Source organism: Homo sapiens, chromosome 1 (assembly GCF_000001405.40).
Source record: "Homo sapiens chromosome 1, GRCh38.p14 Primary Assembly".
NCBI classification, from domain to species: domain Eukaryota; kingdom Metazoa; phylum Chordata; class Mammalia; order Primates; family Hominidae; genus Homo; species Homo sapiens.
Window position 1 is genome coordinate 221,114,873 of NC_000001.11, and position 21,935 is coordinate 221,136,807.

Consider the following 21,935-nt stretch of genomic DNA (forward strand, 5'->3'; position numbering starts at 1 on the left):
GACCATTATTGAGATGCTACTCTGTTCTAGATTCTGTATTAATTACTGCAAACAATTCAGGGGTCACTTTATCTGCCCCCAATGGAGTGGCAGTGTAGTGACAAGGAACATTTACATACAAATAATAACAAAACTAAGCTCTGGTAAATTTTTTAATAGTCACCAATTCTTATTAGAATATGCATATTACTTTGCAATGTAACCTTGGCACTCCACTTCACTTCTCATCCTTAAATCTGGACTAGGCTTCTGAAGTGGAAATGGTATCATGTGAGTTTTGCAGCCCGAGCCTCAGGAGACCTTGAAGCTTCCACTTTCACCCTCTTGTAATGCTATACTGAGATCTCCATGTAAGGACATCAGGGTGACTTAATGGAGGATATAAGGTCACCTAGAAGAGAATCAAGGCCCCCTAGTCAGTAGCCATCGGCAACTTCTAGACCAGCAGACCCTCCAGTTGAGTGCAACTTCAGAAGTGAGCCCGGAGAAGATCAGCAGAAGGGCGTCACAGCCAATCTACAGGATCACAAAAAATAATAAATTATCTTTCTTAAGCCACTGAGTTTTGGAGTCTAACTGAAAAAAAGCATTGCTATGTCCTCCCAGGAAATGTCTACAATAGCTCCACCCACAGGAATAGCTGCCATCTGTGATATTTGAGGCATTTGTTTTTCAGGCCATTCATTTAATGCTCAATGCATATTATTATTATTATTATTATTATTATTATTATTATTATTATTTTTTGCCATGGGCCACATAATCTATCAGATTTGTCTCCTTGACTAAGTCAGGAGCTTTTTAAGGCCTTTTTCATAATTGCATTCCCTATGCTTTGGCAGGAGTGGTAGTTAAAAAAAAAATTGATGACAATGATAAAAATTTTTTAAAAATTATATTTCAACCAACTCATGAACTATCCTGGGCAGTTTGGCACAATAGATCCTATAAACACTTATGGGGATCCTATGAAGGGTTATGCACTGCGCTTTCAGAAACATTAGTATTGTTGTTGTTAGTATAATCATCATAATTATTATTATTTAAATGATCACTAACTTTATAAGGAAGTTATCTTTATCTTTATTTTATAGTTACAGTATTTGAGACTCAGAGAAGTGAAATCTTTGTTTGAAATACACACAATTCATAAGTGGCAGAGCTGAGATAAAAGCCCAGGATCTTGCCTCTTTGTAATAGCTTCTCAGAAATAGGCAGGCAGGTAAGATGACTGCCACATCATCTCTGCTGGGTAGGCCAGTTGGAATGAAGGCACTGTAGGGCCCCTTCCTTCCTGGATCTTGGAGGAACGTGTGTTACAGGAAATAAGAGTTAACAAAAGGGCACCTGAGGAGTGGGGTGTAAGGCCACACACTGCATTCAGACAACAGCCCTCCTCAGTCATCACAGCCTGCTTTCCTGGGGAGGAGCAGTGTTGGACTGACGTTACCCTTATTTATGACCGTTTGACTTCTTTTCTTACTGAGCCCCGTGGCCTAGTCTCAGGCAGCAGCAACACAAGGTCATCCAGTGGCATGCTTTCCAGCCAATACAGGGAGATCATTTGGGGTAAAGAGGATCACTGGCTGGAAAAAGTGGGCTATTTTGACGCAATGCTTTGGGTGTTCTTGATGCAATTGCACTATGAATATGAGGTTCCTGAGACCTTCTGGGAGAAAGCAATTTGGATACTCCCCATGAGGGAGATGCAATATTAAAATGACGGAAATATATATGAGCTTTTTAAAAAAAAATATGGTTTTCCATTTAGAAAAGATCCAGGATCTTTTAAGGCACATGTAGAAATAAATATAAAAGAAAAATGGAAAGAAATGGAGGAGAGGGAAGTGGCCATAATTTTCAAAAGCATGAAGAATTTAGTTGAGTGGCTGCAGAAAAGTTTATTGATTCAATTAATGATAATAATAATGTTAATTATAACTAATGTATATTGAGAGCTAACTTTGTACCAGGTGCTATGTGAAACCTCTGGTTTAATAGTGGTAAAATTTTAAAAAGAACCAGATATGTCTTTGCTCATAAAATTTGCAACCTAATGGAAGGAGACATACTTTAAACAATAAAATACATAATTCCAAGTTATTATACAGCTATGAAGAAAGAATGGGATGCTATGATTAAAAATATAATGGGGAACATGTAAATTGGATTAGGGGGTCAGGAAAAGCTTCTCTGAGGAAGTAAGATTTGACATGAGCCCTAAAGCCTTGGAGACCAGAAAAAATAGATCCAATGGAAACAGTCTGGATTTGTGGTGGACATAAGAAAAAGACATTAAAATGCTAGGAGATAAAGTTCTGGCATGGATTTCAAATGGTTTGGTTAAGAAGCTTCCAGCCCTGCAAGTAATTGCAAACAGTGAGAAGACTTATCTGAAATCAAGCAGCTAGAAAAGATGACTTCTCCATGTCGCCTGTAGAGATGGGATTCCACAGCCCTGACTGATCTCCATTCAGGACAAATGGAATGGAAGGACAGGTAACAAACCATTGATTATGAGAGGCTGCCAGGGTCATCCTCTCACCTCCTCAAGGTGGCTTTATACAATACTATGTTTTATTCAACTCTAGTGGCAGTATTTATATTTTCTGTAAAACAAGTCTTAATTCCCAAACATTTAAAAATCTGTCCTCCAGGAAACATTTTAAGAACCACCAAAGAGAACTAGGCAGGCTGCACTGACCAGCCCAATAGACCACAAACCGGGCTGATTCTGCAGTGAGTCAGTAACCTCTAGCGCTCAATGTTCCCCTTGGAGGAAAGAGAACAGCCATTGCAAACTGTTGTCTGAGAACTTAATAATTAACAGTTTTGCAAAAAGTGTCACTCTGTTTCTGGCAGAGCTCTGCTCTCTTTGGCACTGGAGTGGAAGATCAGCCGGAGGGCAGGTCAGTGGCAGTCTGGAGTGATTCTCAGTGGGAACTGGCCAAGCATATAATTATATCATGAGTCAAGCTCTCTCCAGGGATGTAAAATGACCAGAGGAAAATGAAATAACATTATATCCCACATGAATAGAGGCACTGGTGGAGTAAGCTGACTCCTGAGAAAGAAAACCAGGCTAAGAGGTTTCCCAGCACTTAAATGTCTTATGACTTGTCCCTGTGTCCCTTCTCTTAAAATTAAGAGATTCTATGGGCACAATTTATGCCTTTGCCTTCAACCCAGAGGAACAAGTGACCAGAGACAACAATCCACATGGATAAATAATCTTGATAAACAAAAGGCCATTTAGCTGAAAAACTCCTTGTGTCATTTAGCTCCAAAAAAGAACTGTTTATTCAAGAAGAAATTAGACTGACAAATGTTGTGGTGGGAGTTAAAAAATATTTTTTCCTCACTAAACCACTTCCAAAGGTATATTTTTATGTGTCCAGGAATAGCAGTCTGTTTGTCTTGCTTGTGCTTGTTCCCCCTCTCGTTTCTTTTTGGTCAACATCCAAAGGAGAATTAGTCCTTTGAACAGTGGCAATGTAGTAGCTGAAGCCAAATTAGTATGAATGGTGCTGGCTGCCCCTCCCAATCCCTACTGCCTCTGCTTCCCAGATGATATAATTAGCCAGGGAACTTTTGATCAGTTCATCAAAGAAAAACAGTTATAGGGCAGTCCCATCATGGGTTATGGGCTAAGAAACATCAAAATAGGAGTGACAAGCTTTTATGATGATTTCCAAAAAGGGTTATTTTAGACAGAAAGTGCAGAAACAGAAAAGTGCTCTGAGAGGGGAAGAATAAATAGAACTTGATATTTACCTCTCGTTTGTCATTAGTAATATTTTTGAAGAAAGCAAGCAGTAAGCTTGTGACAAAGCTCGGGAGATGAGGGACAGTGTCTCAAGGAGAAAGCACAGTACAGGGTGGAGTCTGTCAGATACTCTTTGGGAAGTCACTCAAGATAAATATCTAAAGTTCAGTTTCTATTTGTTCAATGTTCAATATGAACATTAAGGTTATGTACTTGGGGATGAGGAGTAAAGTGTTGAAGCAGAAAGAGGAGGAGTATTTGAAAGAGACTGGGGATTTTGATTTTATATCCACCCCTGGGAAGTGGCTGTCCATGCAGGGAAATTTTCCTTTCAGAAAGAAGTAAGCGGTGGGTGGATGAAAGGATAAAAATGAACACATCTACACCTTCTCACCCTCAAAATAAAAATGAAGGCCACTTGGAATTACTAGTGCTCTCATGTGAATATCTCTGAAGTGATGATAGTACTAAATCAGTCAGTCAGCATTGACTGGCTGCCTGCTTGATACTTACACAGTTCCTATAAAAAGAAACTGGAGCATGGTAGGGATTCAAAAACAAGGACCTTGAAAGAAAAAGCCTGTGGCTAATAGAGTTGTCAGTGTGTAGTGTACTACTTCCTAATGAAAGAACTGGAAGAAACTGAGCAAGTCCTCTTGCCTCTGCCTTTGCACCCTCTGCTCCAGTCCACACTGAAAATATCCTCAGTGATGTTACAAGTGTTGAGAATGTGAAGTTAAATGATCTAAACGGCTCACTCAGTGGAGAGCCATCTACTTATGTCTTTTTCATCGGCCATAATTCCAACTCTTAGAGCTTCAGTTCTATAAATTTTACAAGAATTTTAAGTTTTCAAAGTCATTTACTATCATATTTCTTAAAAGATAATTATTTCTCTTACGTTTCACTTGTCCAAAATTAGGATGCACCTTGAAATCAACTGATATGTATATTTAACCTGGAAGAAGTGTTTTCATTCCCTCTTGTACAGTTAGGAAGCCGATGAAATTAGTTTAACATCAAGGAATAAGGTGAAAGGTAAATAGACCTCTGAGGCAAGGACCTTAAGGTGTGTTATGGTCTGAATTGTGTCCCCCTGCTCTCCAAATTCATATGTTTAAGTTCTAAACCCCAGTACTTGAATATAGGGGCTTTAAGAGGTAAAATGTGGTCATTAGGGTGGGCCCTAATCCAATGTGGCTAGTGTCATTATAAGAAAATAAAATTAGGAAGGACACAGATATGCACAGAGCAAAAAACTGAAGACACAGGGAGAAGATGGCCATCTACAAGCCAAGGAGAGAGGCTCCAGGAAGAAACCAAACTTGTGTCAATCGGCTTGGGCTGTTGTAACAAAATACCACAGTCTGGGTGGCTTATCCAACAGGAATTTATTTCTCACAATTCTGAAGACTGAGAAGACCAAGATCAAGGGACTAGTGAATTCAGTTCTTCAGTGAGGTCTCTCTTCCTGGCTTGCAGATGACCATTCTCCCTGTGTCCTCGTGTGATGGAGACAAAGTTCTAGTGTCTCTCCCTCTTCCTATAAGGGCACTAATCCCGACATGAAGGCTCCACCCTTATTACCTCATACAAAACTAATAATCTCCCATAGGCCCCAATGCCATCTCATTGGAGATTAGGGCTTCAACATATGAATTTTGGAGAGGGAGCACAATTCAGTCCATGGCATACCTTGATCTTGGTCTTCTGCCTCCAACACCGTGAGGAAATAAATTTCTGTTGTTTAACCCACCTAGTTTGTGGTATTTTGTTATGGCAGCCCTAGCAAACTAATAGAAGGTGTTGGTTGCATACTGGAGCAGAATGAGCCTGACAGGCAGTGGGGCCAGTCGGGAGAGACCCATGGGGCTAAGAGGGGACACAGGAGACTGTCGTAATCTGCTCAAGCTGCTATTACAAAATATCTGGGACTGGATAATTTAGAAAGAAGAGAAATTTATTTTCTCATGGTTCTAGGGACCGGGAAGTTCAAGATCAAGGTGCTGGCAGGTTCAGTGTCTCTGAAGGCTACTCTGTGGTTCCAAGATGATGCCTTGATTCTTCACATGACAGAAAGGAAAAAAGCTGAAAAAGGTACATATGAGGCCTTTTTTATAAAAGCCTCCATTCCATTAACTTAGGCTTCACCTTCATGGTTTAATCACCTCCTAAAGACCCTCATCTCTTAATCCTATCATATTGGTGACTACATTTCAATACAGAAATTTGGGAGGAGAGTGAACATTCAAACCTTAGTAGGGACAATAGAAAAATAAGTTCAAAATTATTCGAATGTCAAAGAATGGATTTTTCTCAGATGTCAGATCTGTCTGCAAAGAAGAACATCAGTTCCTTCTCTAACTTCATGGAAGGATGGTGGAATATTGTACCTAGATAACTGTCCTTAGTTTTGTCGTTTTGCTTTGTCATAAAACATCAGCCCTTTCAGGATGCCTGCTCTATTTCCGTAACTTTGTTCTGACTGGTCAGTTTTTCCTTCTCATTTTACCTCATGATGGCTTTTTCTATATAAAGCCAAGAAAATGGGTCAATTCTGTCAAGTCAGTTGGAAAAACAGACCATTTGGATTGGTTGATAATATCCGGGTACAATCTTAGACACTGTCCTGAAAAGAGTCTTTTTTCCATGCCCCCTTCCTTTTGGAGCTAAAGTTTTTTTTCTTCTGAATATTACCTTTTAAGTATTGTCAAAAGATTATTTATAGGATCTCTGAAAAATAGCTTTGGATGCTCTCGGTAGAGGAGATGTGGTAGGGAATCAAATTAGATTGGGTCACAAGGGAAAGTGTCTGTAAGAATATGAATGGGACCCAGGGGAAATAAAAATTAAAGAGAAACCAGACTCGAGCTGCACTTTCTCTATTTTGCCAAGTTAGACTTGAATTATGTCATCATATGTAATTTCAAGGAATGGGCAAACTAGTTTGGATAAAACAAAAGTGATCGGATTTGTTTCCCAAAGTGTAAATTGAATCATAGAGAGAAAATTTTCTTGGATGCAAAATAAACGTCCCTGATATCTTCCCCCCATTATTAATTCTTATGAGCCTTATTAATTTTCATCCTAAATGAGATACAAAATGCTGGAATTACATAAATATTATCATTTCCAGGTTGTGTGCAATTTTCTCACTCTTTGGTATCAATATTATATTTCATGCAACTAAAGGTAAAATTTTTCTCCTTACTTATAGTGCAGGATATATCCCATATGGTATGTCTTGTCTTTTCACCTGCAATTCCATTTCTTCTGTATATCCTAAAGGGAAGTCCTGAGTACTTCATAGATGTATCAGTTTGCTATTGCTGTGTAACAAACCAATTCGAAACTTAGTAGCTTAAAACAACAAAAATCTATGTAGCTCATGATTCTGTGGGTCAGCAATTTAGGCTGGGCTCGCTGGGTAGTACTGTTTATCTGGGCCAATCTTGGCTGATCTTGCCATGGATTCACTTACGCTTCTATAGTCAATTGGCATAATAGCTGAGGGCTGCTTGATTGTTAGCTGGGTGTCTCAGCTCTCCTCTGGCAGAATAGCCTGTGCTTGCTCCCACGGTGGCTGGTTCCATGAGTGGCAAGCAGGCAAGCTTCAATACACAAGTGCTTCTAATGCCTCTGCTTGTATCACAACTGCTAATGTCCTATGAGCCAAAATAAGTCACATGGCTAAAGCTAGAGTCAGTGTGAGAGGACACTGTCAAAGAATATAAGGAAGAGTAAATAAATTTGAGCTGTTACTGCAATCTACAGTGTAGGCATTTAAAAGGTTTGTTTGATAACGAAAGTCATCCTACTCTTATAATTAATTGTGTAGACTAATATATTGGAACAAATGAACCACAAAGGCACTTGACACTATGTGGAAAAGAACTATCTATTATGCAAGTTACAAGGGTATTTGTTTCCTTTCATACATACTTATTTGAGGAGAGTGTGAACTGAGAGGATGTGGGAAATCTAAAAGGACACATCATTGTTTACTCTTTTGGGGAAAGAGTCCAGAGCAATTACTAAAGCCACCAGGGCAATTAGAGACCCTGAGGGAACCCTGGTCACATTTTTGGCTTTAGTAGAAAGTGGCTGGAAAAAATGAGTCCACCATGGTCAGGCCAGGAAATCTCAGATCACTTTACCTTTGGGCACTCCACACCCATATACCAAACCATGGTGTCTTAGAGTCTGTATATGGCAGTAAGTCTATCTCATTGTTTTCTCCACGTTCTGGTGTGGCCTGGGAACTAACTGTGTTATGTCTATTATTGAGGAGGGGCCTTCCTGGGGTGGAGCACCAGCTTCAAAGATAGGTGGCAGGAAAAAAAAGGCTCACTGACTTTTGGCAGTGTAAATCCTGAGTTATCATCGGCAGCCTGATGTAGTGGTGGTAACAGGGAGTCTGGCTTAGGAAGCTCATTAGAACCTGAAGCTAATGGACCCAGTGGCATTGGCTAGGGTCCTGTTAAATTCATTTTCCTTCATACAGGGAAACATTCTCTTCAGGAGACCAAGGCAGCCATCTTGGTCTTGTGAGCTTGTGTCCCAGTCCCTGGGTGAGAGTAGGAATGGGTTAGCACCAGCCAGAGCCATCACTGGCAGGCTGTCTCAGTGGGATTATCTCAGGGATGATGGGCTGCAACACTGAATATTCCCAAGAGGATTGGAAGCAAAGGAAGCAGAGCCATGTCTTGATGAATTCAATGATTGTGGATAATCAGGATCTTTCAGATTCAGACTTTCTTCCTCACTAGCTGATCATTCACATGAATAACTTAGATAATGACCTTCTTTGACCTCTTTTTTTTTCTCTAAGTACAGTTTTTAGTCTAAGTCTGGAGGTCTCAAGTCAAGATCCAGATAACTAATTTGACACTTGAATTTGATTCTTATAAGCAGGTAGTTTCAATATCTCTAAATACAAAACCCTTTTATTACATTAGTTTTTCATGCTACTTTATTTTTTTAAAATATACTTTACTTTTTGGAACAGTTATACATTTATAGAAAGAGGCTACCAGATACCACACATGTAATTTTTCCTGTATTGACATCTTGCATTAGTGCAGTTCAGTTGTTACAATTAATGAATCAATATTGATTATTATTAAGTAAAATCCATAGTTTATTGAGATATCCTGTTTTTTACCTAATGTTACTTTTCTGCTCCAGGATCCTATTCAGAATACCACATTATGTTTAATTGTCATGTCTCTTTAGGCGCCTCTTGGCTTTCACAGTTTCTAAGACTTTCTTTGGTTTTGATGGCCTCGACAGTTGTGAGAAGTACTGGTCAGGAATTTCATAAAATGTCCTTATACTGGAAATTGTCTGATGTTTTTCTCGTGATTAGACTGGGTTATGGGTTCTTGAGAGGAAGACCACAGAGGAAAAGTGCTATTTGCAACATATGTTGATAATGTGCCACATGCAGGGTACATTATCAATAGGACTGATTATCACTGTTGATGTTGACCTCCATCACTTGGCTCAGGTAATGTTTATCAGGTTTCTTCATTGTTTAGTCATTCTTTTCTTGTTCCATTCTGTACTCTTTGGAAGGAAGTCACTGTGTCCAGCCCACAGCTGAGGAGTGGGAGTTGCGTTCTCCCTCCTTGAGGACAAAATATCTGCAATTCTACATGGAAGATTTGTCTCTTCTCCCCTATTTATTTATTCATTTGTTAAATGAATATAATGAATAAATAATGAATAAATGAATGAAGTGAATAAATAAATTCATTCAATCATTTACTTATATCAGTATGGACTCATAGTTATTTTTCCACTTTTAGTTATAATCCAACACTATATTCTGTTCCTTAAATTGTTCCAAGTTTGGCCATTAGGAGTCCTTTCAAATGGCTACTTTGCTTCTTTGACATACCCCCATTAATATGTGTGTGTATGTATATATGTATGCATTTATTTATTTTAGCACTTCTTACTTTCTGATATTACAAAATGCTTCAAGATCATCTTGTATCTTTTCTGCACCAGTCCTAGAATCAGCCATTTCTTCAAGGAGCCCAGGTTCCTTTTATTGCAGAATGGTATTAGAAAGCAAGATCTTGGTGTGTAGAGTACTTGTTGCTACTGGAGTGTCTTCGATTCTAGGCCGTCTCAGCTAATAGAGTTAGGAAATATATGTGTGTATACTAACCCATGTACACGTATCTATACATCTTTCTATTGCAACTATTTGTATCTATATTAAGCTAAGTGTGGGTTCATACTGATGTCTTTAATGCTAAGCATTACCACATGGGTTATTCTAGCTGTTCCCCTTACTTGTCTATACAATCCCACTTCAACAATGAGCAATCTGGTCTTCAACATCCCCATTTAAGTTTACGCTATGTGCTAAAGTTCAGTTTATTAATTGCTAAATTCCAGTATACATAGATACGAGCATCAGAATTTTTAACCCATACCCACCTGGGAAATAGCTTCATCCTTCAGAGTACAGTGATTATGTGCAGTTTCTTTTGTCTCTAGTCTTACTCGAGTCATTTCTAGCATTGCTTGAGTCAGTACCATTTTCCCCATCCTTTTCAGTGAGGTTTCATAAATTCATAATAGGTTATGTTATTGCTGCCTGCATTCCTTTCTGAGCTCTTCCAACATTCTAAATGATTTTTAAAATTTTGCCTACATGTAGGTTACCTTTTGTGCTATTAAGCTCAATGGGTTTTGAAAAATTCATAATGCCATGTATCTATCATTACAGTATCATACAGAATAGCTTCACTGTCCTAAAAACAGCCCCTGAACCCTATCTATTCAGTCCTCTTCTTTTCCTCTTAAACCCCAGGCAACCACTGGTATTTTTATTGTCTCTAAGTTTGCCTTTCAAAAGTGTCATATACTTGCAATTACAGTATAAAGCCTTTCAGGTTGCCTTCTTTTACTTAGTAATATAAATTTAAAGTTTATTCATATGTTTTCATAGCTTAATAATGCATTCTTTGTTACAGAATAACATTCCATCTAATGGATACTCTACAGTTTGTTTATCCGTTTATTAATATTTATTGAAGAACATCTTTGTTGCTTGTAATTTTGAGTGATTATGAATAAAGCTTCTAAAGATATTCATCTGTAGGTTTTTGTGTGGACATAATTTTGCAGATCAGTTGGGTTAATAGCTTGGAACTTGACTGTGGAATCATAGGGCACTATGGTCTGGATGTGTCTCCCAAAATTTGTGTGTTGGAAACAATTTCCAATGCAACAATTTTGGGATATGAGGCCTAATGAGAGGCATTTGAGTCATGAAGACTCTGTCTTCAGGAATGAATTAATGCTATTATAAAAACGGCTTGTGGGAGTGAGTTTCCTCTTTTGCCCTTCAGCCCTCTGCCATGTGAGGCTGCAAGAAGCCCATAACTGATGTTGGTGCCTTGATTTTGGACTACCCAGACTTTAGAACTGTGAGAAATAAATATCTATTCTTCTTAAACTGCCTAGTCTGTGGCATTCTGTTACAGTATCACAAATGCACAGCGACATATGGCATGATTATGTTTAGCTTTGCGAGAAAACACCAAACTGTTTTCCAAAGTGGCTGCATCCTCTTAGCAATGAACGAGCATTCCTATTGCTCTGCCAGTAATTTACATTGTGTTTTAAGATTTTAGTTATTCTAATGTATATATTATGGTATCTCATTATTGTTTTCACTTGCAATTCTGTAATGACAAATGACAAACGATGTTGCGCATTTTTTTCTTTCGGTATACTTTTTTTTTTAAAGTCTGTATATCTTCTGTGGTGATATATCAGGTCTTTTGCTTATTTTTAAGTAAAGTTTTTTCTTTTTTGTTAGTTTTAAGAGTTTTTTTTGTATATTTTAAACACAAGTCCTTTATCAGATATGTGTGTTGCAAATAATTTCTTCAAGTTTTTGGCATGTCTTTCATTCTCTTTACGGTATATTTTGTAGGGCAAAAGTTTTGATTTTAACAAAGTCCAATGTATCATGTTTTTCTTTCATGGAGTATGCTTTCAGTGTTATACAAGGTGTCCAAACCCATGGTTATCTAGCATTCTTCCTCTGTTATCTTCTAGAAGAGCTGGTACTAATCCTACTGAAACTATTCCAAAAAATCAAGGAGGAGGGACTCACTCACTAATTCTACAAAGCCTGCATCACCCCGATACCAAAATTTGGCAAAGACACAATGAAAAAAGAAAACTGCAGGCCAACATGCCTGATGAACATAGAGTAAAAATCCTCAACAAAATACTAGCAAACTGAATACAGAAGCACATCAAAAGTTAATTTGCTATGACCACATAGGCTTTTTCCTGGGATGCAACATTGGTTCAACATATACAAATCAATAAATATGATTCACCACATAAACAGAATTAAAAACAAAAACCATATGATCATCTCAATAGATGTACAAAAAGCTTTTGATAGAATTCAGTTTCTTCATGAAGAAAACATCAACAAACTAGGCATTGAAGGAACATACTTAAAATAATAACCATCTATGACAAACCCACAGCCAACATTATCTTAAATGTGCAAAAGTTTGAAGCAATTTCCTTAAGAACAGGAACAAGACAAGGATGCCCTGTCTCACCACTCCTATTCAACATAGTACTGAAAGTCCTAGCCATAGCAATCAGACAAGAGAAGGAAATAAGAGGCATCCAAATATGAAAAGAAGTCAAATTGTCCCTCATTGCTGATATGATTCCATACCTAAAAAACCCTAAAGATTCCACTGAAAGGAACTTAGTGCTGATAAAAGACTTCAGTAAAGTCTCATGATACAAAATCAATGTACAGAATCAGCAGCATTTCTGTCCACCAATAATGTTGAAACTGAGAGCCAAATCAAGAATGCAATCTTATCTACAATAACCACAAAAAATAAAATACCTAGGAATACATGTAGCCAAGGAGGGGAAAGATCTCTACAAAGAGAACTGCTATGTACTTCTGAAAGAAATCATAGATAACACGAACAAATGGAAGAATACCCATGGATTGGAAGAGTCAATATTGTTAAAAATGGCCATGATGCCCAAAGCAATCTATAGATTCAGTGCTATTCCTATCAAACTACCAATGTCATTTTTCATAGAAATAGAAAAAAACTATTCTAAAATTCACATGGAACCAGAAAAGAGCCTGACTACCCAAAGTAGTCCTAGGCAAAAACAAAACAAAAGAAAACAAAACAAAACTGAAACAAACAAACAAAAAAACAAAGCCGAGACATTACATTACCTAACTTCAAACTATACTACAAGGCTACAGTAACCAAAACAATAATGGTACTGGTACAAAAATAGATACATATACCACATAAATCAATGGAAAAGAATAGAGAGCCCAGAAATACAAATGCGCATCTACAATTATCTGATCTTCAACAAAGTCTACAAAAATAAGCAGTGGGGAGAGGACTGTCTATTTGATCAATGGTAATGTGATAGCTGACTATCCATATGCAGAAGAATGAAGCTGGACCTCTACCTTTCACCATATACAAAAGTAAATTCAAAATAGATTAAAGATTTAACTGGAAGACTTCAAATTATAAAATGTTCTAGAAGAAAACCTAGGAAATGTCATTCTGGACATCAACCTCTGCAAAGTATTTATGACTAACTCCTCAAAAGCAATTGCAACAAAATTAAAAATTAATAAATAGTGCCTAATTAAACTAAGGAGCTTCTGCACAGCAAAAGAAACTATGAGTAGAGTAAACAGACAACTAGAGAACAGGAAAAATATTTATAAGCTATGCATCCAACAAAGGTCTAATATTAAGAATCTATAAGGAACTTAAACAGTTGAACAAGCAAAAAACAAACAATTTCATTAAGAAGCAGGCAAAGGATAGGAAAGTCAAGTCTCAGGATATAAAACTTCTACAGACACTTCTCAAAAGAAGACATCCAAGTGGCCAAAAAACATATGAAAAAACACTCAACATCACTAATCATCAGAGAAATGCAAATCAAAATGACAACATGATATCATTTTACACCAATCAGAATGGTTATTAAAAAATAAAAAAACCCACAGATATTGGCGAGGCTGCATAGAAAAGGGAACATTTATACACTGATAGTGGAAATATAAATTATTTCAGCCACTGTGAAAGGCAGTTTGGAGATTCCTTAAAAAATTCAAAATAGAACTACCATTTGACCCCAGGAATCCCATTTCTGGGTATATCCCCAAAGGAAAATAAATCGCTGTACCAAAAAGACACATCTATTAGTATGTTCATTGCAGCACTATTCACAATAGCAAAAACATGGAATCAACCTAGGTGCCCATTAACAGTGCATTAAAGAAAGAAAATTTGGTACATATACAACATGGAATACTATGCAGCCATAAAAATAATAAAATTATGTCCTTTGTCCAACATAGATGCAGCTGGAAGTCATTATCCTAAGCAAATTAACTCAGCAACAGAAAACCAAATACTGCATGTTTTCACTTCTAAGTGGGAGCTAAACATTAGTTACACATGGACGTAAAGATGAGAGCAACAGTCACTGGAGACTAGTAGACATGGGAAGGAAGGAGGAGGAGGGAAAGGGCTGAAAAACTGTCTATTGGGTCCTAGGCTCTCTACCTGCATGACAGGATCATTAGTACCCCAAACCTCAGCATTATGCAATATATACCCATGTAACAAACCTGCACATGTACTCCTGAATCTAAAATAGAATTTGCAATTAAAATTTTTTTAAAATTTAATTCATTAATATAAGTTATCTCTCTATTTAACTCTTCTTCAATTTCTCTGGTCAGTGTTTTGTGGTTTTCCTCATATATACCTTTTACATATTTTTTCTTAGGTTTATGCCTGAGTATTTCTTATTTTTGGTGTAATTGTAAATTGTGTTGTATTGCTAATTCCAATTTGCAATTATTCATTGCTGATAGGTAGGAAAGCAATTAAGTTTTATATATTAACCTTTTATACTATGACCTATAACTGTTTATTAGTTCTGGTAGTTTTAAAATGATTCTTGGGAGGCAATTTCTGCATAGAAAATTATGTTTCCTGTGAACAAGGACAGTTTTATTCTTTCCTTCCCAATCTGTATACAATTTATTTCCTTTTTAAATCTTTTTTCGCTCTCTAGGGGCTTCATTACAAAGTTGAATAGGAGTGGAAAGAGGGGATATCCTTGCCTAGTTCCCAACTTTAGAGAGAAAGCATCTAGTTTCTCTATATTAAGTAAAATGTTACATATAGTTTTTTTTGTAGCTGTTCTTTATCGAGTTTAACAAGTTCTTGTGTATTCCTAGTTTATTGAGAGTTTTTATCATAAACCGATGTGGAATTTTGTCAAATACTTTTTCTGCATCAATTGATATGATCATTAGATTTTCTTCTGTATCATGTTGATGTGGATTATATTAATTGATTTTGAATGTTGAATCCTTCTGGCATACCTAGAATAAATCCCACTTGGTTGTAATGTATAATATTTCTTACACATTGTTGTATTTAGTTTGCTAATATGCTATGAGAATTTTTGCATCTATAGTCATTATAGATACTGTTCTGCAGTTTTCATTTCTTGTAATGGCTTTGTATGGTTTTAGTATTAGGGCAAAGCAGATCTCATAGGATGAGTTATGAAGTGTTCCTTTTGCTTCCATTTTTGGAAGAGATTGTGAAATATTGACATAATTTACTTTTTAAATATTTGATATAATTCACCAGTGAAGTTATCTGGGTCTGGTGATTACATTTTTAGAAATTTACTAATTATTGATTCAGTTTCTTTAATAGTTATAGACCTATTCAGAAGGTCTGTTTTTCCTAGTGTGAGTTGATAAATTTGTTTCTTTCAAGGAATTGGTCTTTGTTGTGAGCATGTAATTGCACGTAGCATTTCTTTATAATCTTTGTAACATTCATGAAATCACTGTGGTGACTCCTCTTTTCTGAAATTGGCCATTTGTGTCTTCTCTTTTTTTTCTTTGTTAGACTCTCTGAAGGTTCATCAATTTTATTAATCTTTCCAAAGAACCAGCGTTTGGTTTATTTGATTATCTCTGTGGTTTTCCTGTTTTCATTGTTACTTATTTCTGCTTTAATTATATTATTTCTTGTCTTCTTTTTACTTTAGGCTTATATTGCTCTTCTTTCTCTAATTTCCTTATATGGAAGCCTAAGTTATTGAATTTCCATCTCTCTTCTCTTCTTTTTAATACATCCATTTAATGCTATGCATTTCCCTCTATACATTGCTTTTGCTGCATCCCACAAATTTGGTAAGTTTTCATTCTCATTTAGTTAAAATATTTTAAAATTATCTTGAGATTTCTTCTTCTACACATGTTATTTAGAAGTATATTGTTTAATCCTCAAATATCTTGGGATTTTGCAGCCATCTTTCTGTTGCTGACTTCTAGTTTAATTCCACTGTGGTCTGAGAACAGACATTGTAAGATATCTATTCTTTTAAATTTCGTAGTGTGGCTTATGGCTTAGAATATTGCCTGTCTTGGTGAGTGTGTCATGTGAACTTGAGAAGCATGTGTATTCTGTCATTGGTTGATGTAGTATTTTATAAGTGTCAACTAGATCAAGTTGATTACTAGTGCTATTCAGGCCAATTTTTTGTTGTTGTTGTTTTGCTTTTTGTTTGTTTGTTTTTACTGATTTTCTACCTGCTTGTTCTATCAGTTGCTGAAACAGGGATATTGAAATCTCCAACTATAAATAGTCTATTTCTCTATATCTCATTGTAGTTTTAGCAGTTTTTGCTTCACGTATTTTGTTAGGGATATTAGGGATGTTGTTAGGGATGTTAATAGTTGTTATGTCTTATTAGAGAATTGACCCCTTTATCATTATGTAATGCCCATCTTTATCTCTGATAATTTTTTTTTTGCTCAGAACTCTATTTTGTCTAAAATTAATACAGCTACTCCAGCTTTCTTTTGGTTGATGTTAACATGATAGTTTTTTCTCTACTCCTTTACTTTTAATCTTTTCATGTTTTTAAAGTGGGTTTCTTCTAGAGAACATACAGTTGGACCCTTTAAAAAAATCCTCTCCAACAATATCTATTTTTAAAACTGGTTTATTTAGATCATTCACATTTAATATGATTATTGATAAAGTTGGATTAATTATCTACCATGTTTGCAGCTGTTTTGCAATCATTACACTTATTCGTTGCTTCTTTTCTTTCTTCCCCTCTATTAGTTTGCTAGGGCTGCCATAAGAAAATACCATAGACTGGATGTCTTAAATAACATACATTAATTTTCTTACAGCTCTGGATGCTGGAAGTCCAAGATCAAGATGTTGGTAGGGTTTATTTCTTGTGAGACCTCTCTCCTTGGCTTGCAAATCATTGCTTTCTTGCTGTGTCCTAATGTGGTCTTCTCTCTGTGTATGATTTTGTCTTGATCTCTTCTTCTTAAAAGGACACCAATCATATTGGGTTAGGACCCATGCTAAGGACCTCATTTTATGTTATTATCTCTTTAAAGGCCGTATCTCCAAATACAGTCACATTCTGAGGTTCTGAGAACTTTTACATATGACTTTGGCAGGTTGGGGGCAGGCAAAATTCAACCTCTCACACCTTCTCTTTCTACCTTCTCTTGTCTTAATTGAGTATTTCATAAGATTCTATTTTCTCCCCTCTCTTAGTATAACTGTTATTCTTCTCTTTAAATTTCTTTTCATCCACTAGAGTTTGCAATATATATTTACAACTAATATAAGATCATATGCCACTTCACCTGTAGTGCAGATACCTTAAAACAATGTAGTTCTTATTTTTTCCTCCTATTTCTTACAATGTTGCTTTCACTAATTAAAATTACCCATATACTACAATCACTCAAAACTTTATTACTATTATTACTCTAAACAAAGAGTTACCTTTTAGATCAATTAAGAATAAGAAAAACTGAAGACTATTTTACGTTTATTCACTTTTCCTCAAGGTTCTTTTCTTTTTGTAAACCTGAGTTTTTGATCTATATCATTATTCTTCTCTCTGAAGAACTTTTAACATTTCTTGCAGGGCCCACTGCTGGATTTGAGTTGGATTTGTTTGTTTAAGAAAGTCTTTCTTTTTCCTTTTTGAAGGAGAAGTTCACTGGGTATGGAAATCTCAATGGGTGGTTTTTGTTTTTCAACATGTAAGTACCTCACTCCACGCTCTTCTTGCTTGCATGGTTTCTGATAAGAAGTCCACTGTAATTCTTGTTCTTGGTCTTCTATAGGTCATGTGCTCTTTTTTCTGGCTTCTTTTAATACTTTTTCTTTGCTTTTGTTTTTCTGAAGTTTAAAAATAATATGTCTACATTTTTTTTTTGGTGTTTATTCTGCTTGGTGTTCTCTCAGTCTCCTGGAACTGTGGTTTGGTGTTCTCATTAATTTTGAAAAATTCTCTGTCATTATTACAGCAAATATTTTTCTCTGTTTTCTCTTTCTTCCTCTTCTTGTATTCTAATTATGTATCTATTATACCTTTGAGATTATCGCAGTTTTGGTATTTTTTTGATATTTTGTTTTCTGATATTTTCTTTTTTTCCCCATTCTTTTTCTGTCCCCTTCTTATTTTACAGATTTATTATGGGTTTCCTTGTAAAAAGAGACCAAAATAAATGTGGGGCTACCTCCTATCTATAGAATAAGGAATCACACAGTACCTTAGTCACATAACAAAAGCAAAAAAAAACAAACCCAAAATTAAAAACTGTTTTACCTTTCAACTGCTGATATTATGTATAATATATCACAAGTAAGCATAGCTGTGCATTCATGAGATTCGTGAGCTGATTCTATTAACTTGTAGAATTTTAGAGATGAGCACATGTAAGCATATGGATACTGCCCTACCTTACAAAGTAAAAGCAAGCATTTTCTATTAATTTTTTTATTTCTGTGTAAAACAAAGAACTCCTAGAGGTCAAATAAGAAAATTATACCAAACTCAAAGCACTATTAAGTCATGAAAAAAAGAAGACTCTGAGGTACAAGTCAAACAATATAATTCATAATTTTAGGTATTCCCAGCAACCATCACATCTCACAAGTAAGATCTATTAAAAAAAAAATCTCAAGTTCCAAAATATCAATAATCTAGTCTCTAAAATCAGATGTAAGACTATGACCAACAGAAGACACCCAAATTTTTGTCACGGTAGCAAAGTAAATGGTTTTACTAAAAGCTGCTGACATTTCTATCAGTAGTAACCGTAAGGAGGCTGCTGGTTTTAACCATAGTGCCAATATTGGTGGGGATAGTAAGGTTCTTGTCTGTGTTATGGGTAATGTTACCCCCAGAATCTTCCATGCCACTGATTGGATCAATTGTCACTTGGCCATCCCTGGCTGCTATCCCTGCCTCTGAACTGTCTGTTATCTTGAGACTGATTGTCTCTATTTCTTTGGTTCCCAGCAGCTCTGCTATTCCATTCCTCAACAATTAGAGGGGACCCAGGAGGGCATTTCAGGTATTGCTGATACTCCCTGTCACCTTCTGTGAATCTACTAGCAAACATCTCTTCAAAAGTTGGAACAGCTTTGGAAGTGTCAGTCATTCTGAAATTCCCAAAGATTTGAGGAAGGTGTATTGCTTAATGTTCAGGTTGTTTAAAATCCACCAAAGGCTGTGTCAATCCACCTTGGGCCGAACCCCACCAGAGAGACACTGAGAGGTTGCAGGAGAGGTGCCTCTGGCCCACCACGCCTGGAAGTCCAGACCACTCCAGCTCCTAAGGTAATGGAGTCCCTCCCACTAGCATCTGACAACCACCTCCCATCTTTTTTCTCTTTACATTTTGCTTTGGGAAACTTCTACTGACATGTCTTCAAGCTCAGTGGTGTTTTGTTTTTGTTTTTTCTTTTCTTGGCCATGTCCAGTCTTCTGATAAGCCTATCAAAGGCATTATTTATTTCTGTTACATCAAAAAAAAAAAAGAAAGAAAAAAATGAGCAAACCTCTCAGGAGCCACCCCCAATTAATGAGGGACAGAATTTCTACCATTTTCTTTTGATTCATTAGAATTTTTATCTCTCTGCTTATGTTACCTGATTACTTGATTGTGTTTGTTTTTGCACATTGTGTACATTTTGCATTAAAGCCTTTAACATATTAATCATAGGTATTTTAAATTCTTTTCTATTCCACTCTGTGTATCTATGTGTACACATTATTTAGCTCCCACTTATAAAGGAGAATATGCAGTATTTGACTTTCTGTTTTGGGGTTATTTCACTTTTGATAATGACCTTCAGTTCCATCCATGGTGCTATAAAAGACATGATTTTATTCTTTTTTATGCTTCGGTGGTATTCCACGGAGACCTAGAAAGGCAGGAGGGTGGTGAGGGATGAGAAAATACCTAATAGGTAAAATGTACACTATTTGGGTGATGGTTACACTAAAAACTCAAACTTCTCCACTATGCAATATATCCATGTAACAAATCTATACCTGTACTCCATAAATCTATATAAAAAAATTCCCTCTCTGATAATTCCAGTGGCTATATTATATCTGAATTTTATCCTGATACTTGTCTCCTCAGATTGTGCTACTGCCCCTTGAAGTGTGCTTATATGTATTAGATAAATGTATCTCTCTGTGTATATATCTGTTAGTTACAGTAGTGCTTGGCATAAAGTAAGCACTGGATAAATATTAGCTGTTATTGTAACCAGTCCTTCTTCCCCATTTTGCACACATCACCCCTGTCTTTATGTAATGAGTCTAGTGGCTTTCTCTCCAGGACTCCATTTTGGCTTTCTTGAACATAGATATATAGCCACTGATTAGGGGAGAGGGATAGTTTTCTGGCCAGCTTTATACTCCACTTTAAATTGCTGGCATCTAAATTTAAATCCAACCTCAGGTTTTTAACGGTTTTGCTAGCGTACTGAGTCCAGCATATAATTCCTCATGCCTAGTGCCTACAGGGTGTGGTACAAGATGTACCTTTCTGGTTTGGCATTGGCTTCCCTGATGAACTCCTTCCACTTCCAACCTACCCATCCACCCTTCTCTTATGTGAAATTATATTCTTTGGCCATTGCATTTCATGTAATTGTAGCATTTAATTTTGAACTCATGCCCGGAGGCCTGTGGGCAGTGGGCATGTTTAAAGAAATCTAATAAATGAAGGGAAATAAACGTACAGGGTAAAAAGTAAATGGGCCAATACTATTCAGAGAAAAACCTCAAAGTGCCTGTCTGCTTGCAGGAACAAAAATAATTTTAGAACAAGTCAGTAATGTAAACAAGGTGAAAAAAAATATTTTACTTAGTAAATACGGTAGGTTCATGTTTTCTACCTTACTCCTGGGTCTTTGCTTCGTAAGAGCAGCCTTTTGACCCTCTTCTAGTGAATGAAGTGCCTTGGCCAGAAGTCAAGGTAGGTCAGCCTTTCACTCAGTTCAGTTTGTGGGTGGACAAGAATATATTCAGGCTGAGGAATAATTTAATTTTCTCTTGTTAGCTCCATTGAGAAAAGGATTGTATGCATTGAGTCTACCCCAATGGGAAAGTTCTCAATCTCCCCATAAACACTTCTTTCATTTGGTTGTTCACTTTGACCCTGCTTGTGCTTTGGTGGACTTAGTTCTATTCTGTTCCATCCTCAACAAAATGAAGTGGGTGCCAAAGCACCTGGTCACATGGATGCACACGAATGTGCAGATGGCCACACCAGGGTTAAAAGTCAGAAAGCACTCCTCTCTGTATGCATTTTACTATATATATATATAGAGAGAGAGAGAGAGTAAATTATAAATAAATATATGTATAATTATATATATTTATAAATATATATGTAATTTTTTTGAGATGGAGTTTTGCTGTTATTGCCCAGGCTGGAGTGCAGTGGCAAGGTCTCGGCTCACTGCAACCTCCACCTCCTGGGTTCAAGCAATTCTCCTGCCTCAGCCTCCCGAGTAGCTGGGATTACAGGCGCCCACCACCCCGCCCAGCTAATTTTTTGTATTTTCAGTAGAGATATGGTTTCACCATGTTGGCCAGGCTGGTCTCGAACTCCTGGCCTCAGGCAGTCCAGCCATCTTGGCCTCCCAAAGTGCTGGGATTACAGGCGTGAGCCACCACACCCAGCACTAATTGATATATTTTTAAAACTATATACACACACACACAG

The 21,935-nt window shown here is 36.7% G+C and overlaps 1 pseudogene; it reads right to left on the bottom strand.

The window, feature by feature from the left end:
- Positions 1-18,796: 18,796 nt before the first annotated feature.
- LOC100132626 (RNA guanine-7 methyltransferase activating subunit pseudogene) lies at positions 18,797-19,545 on the bottom strand (annotated as a pseudogene).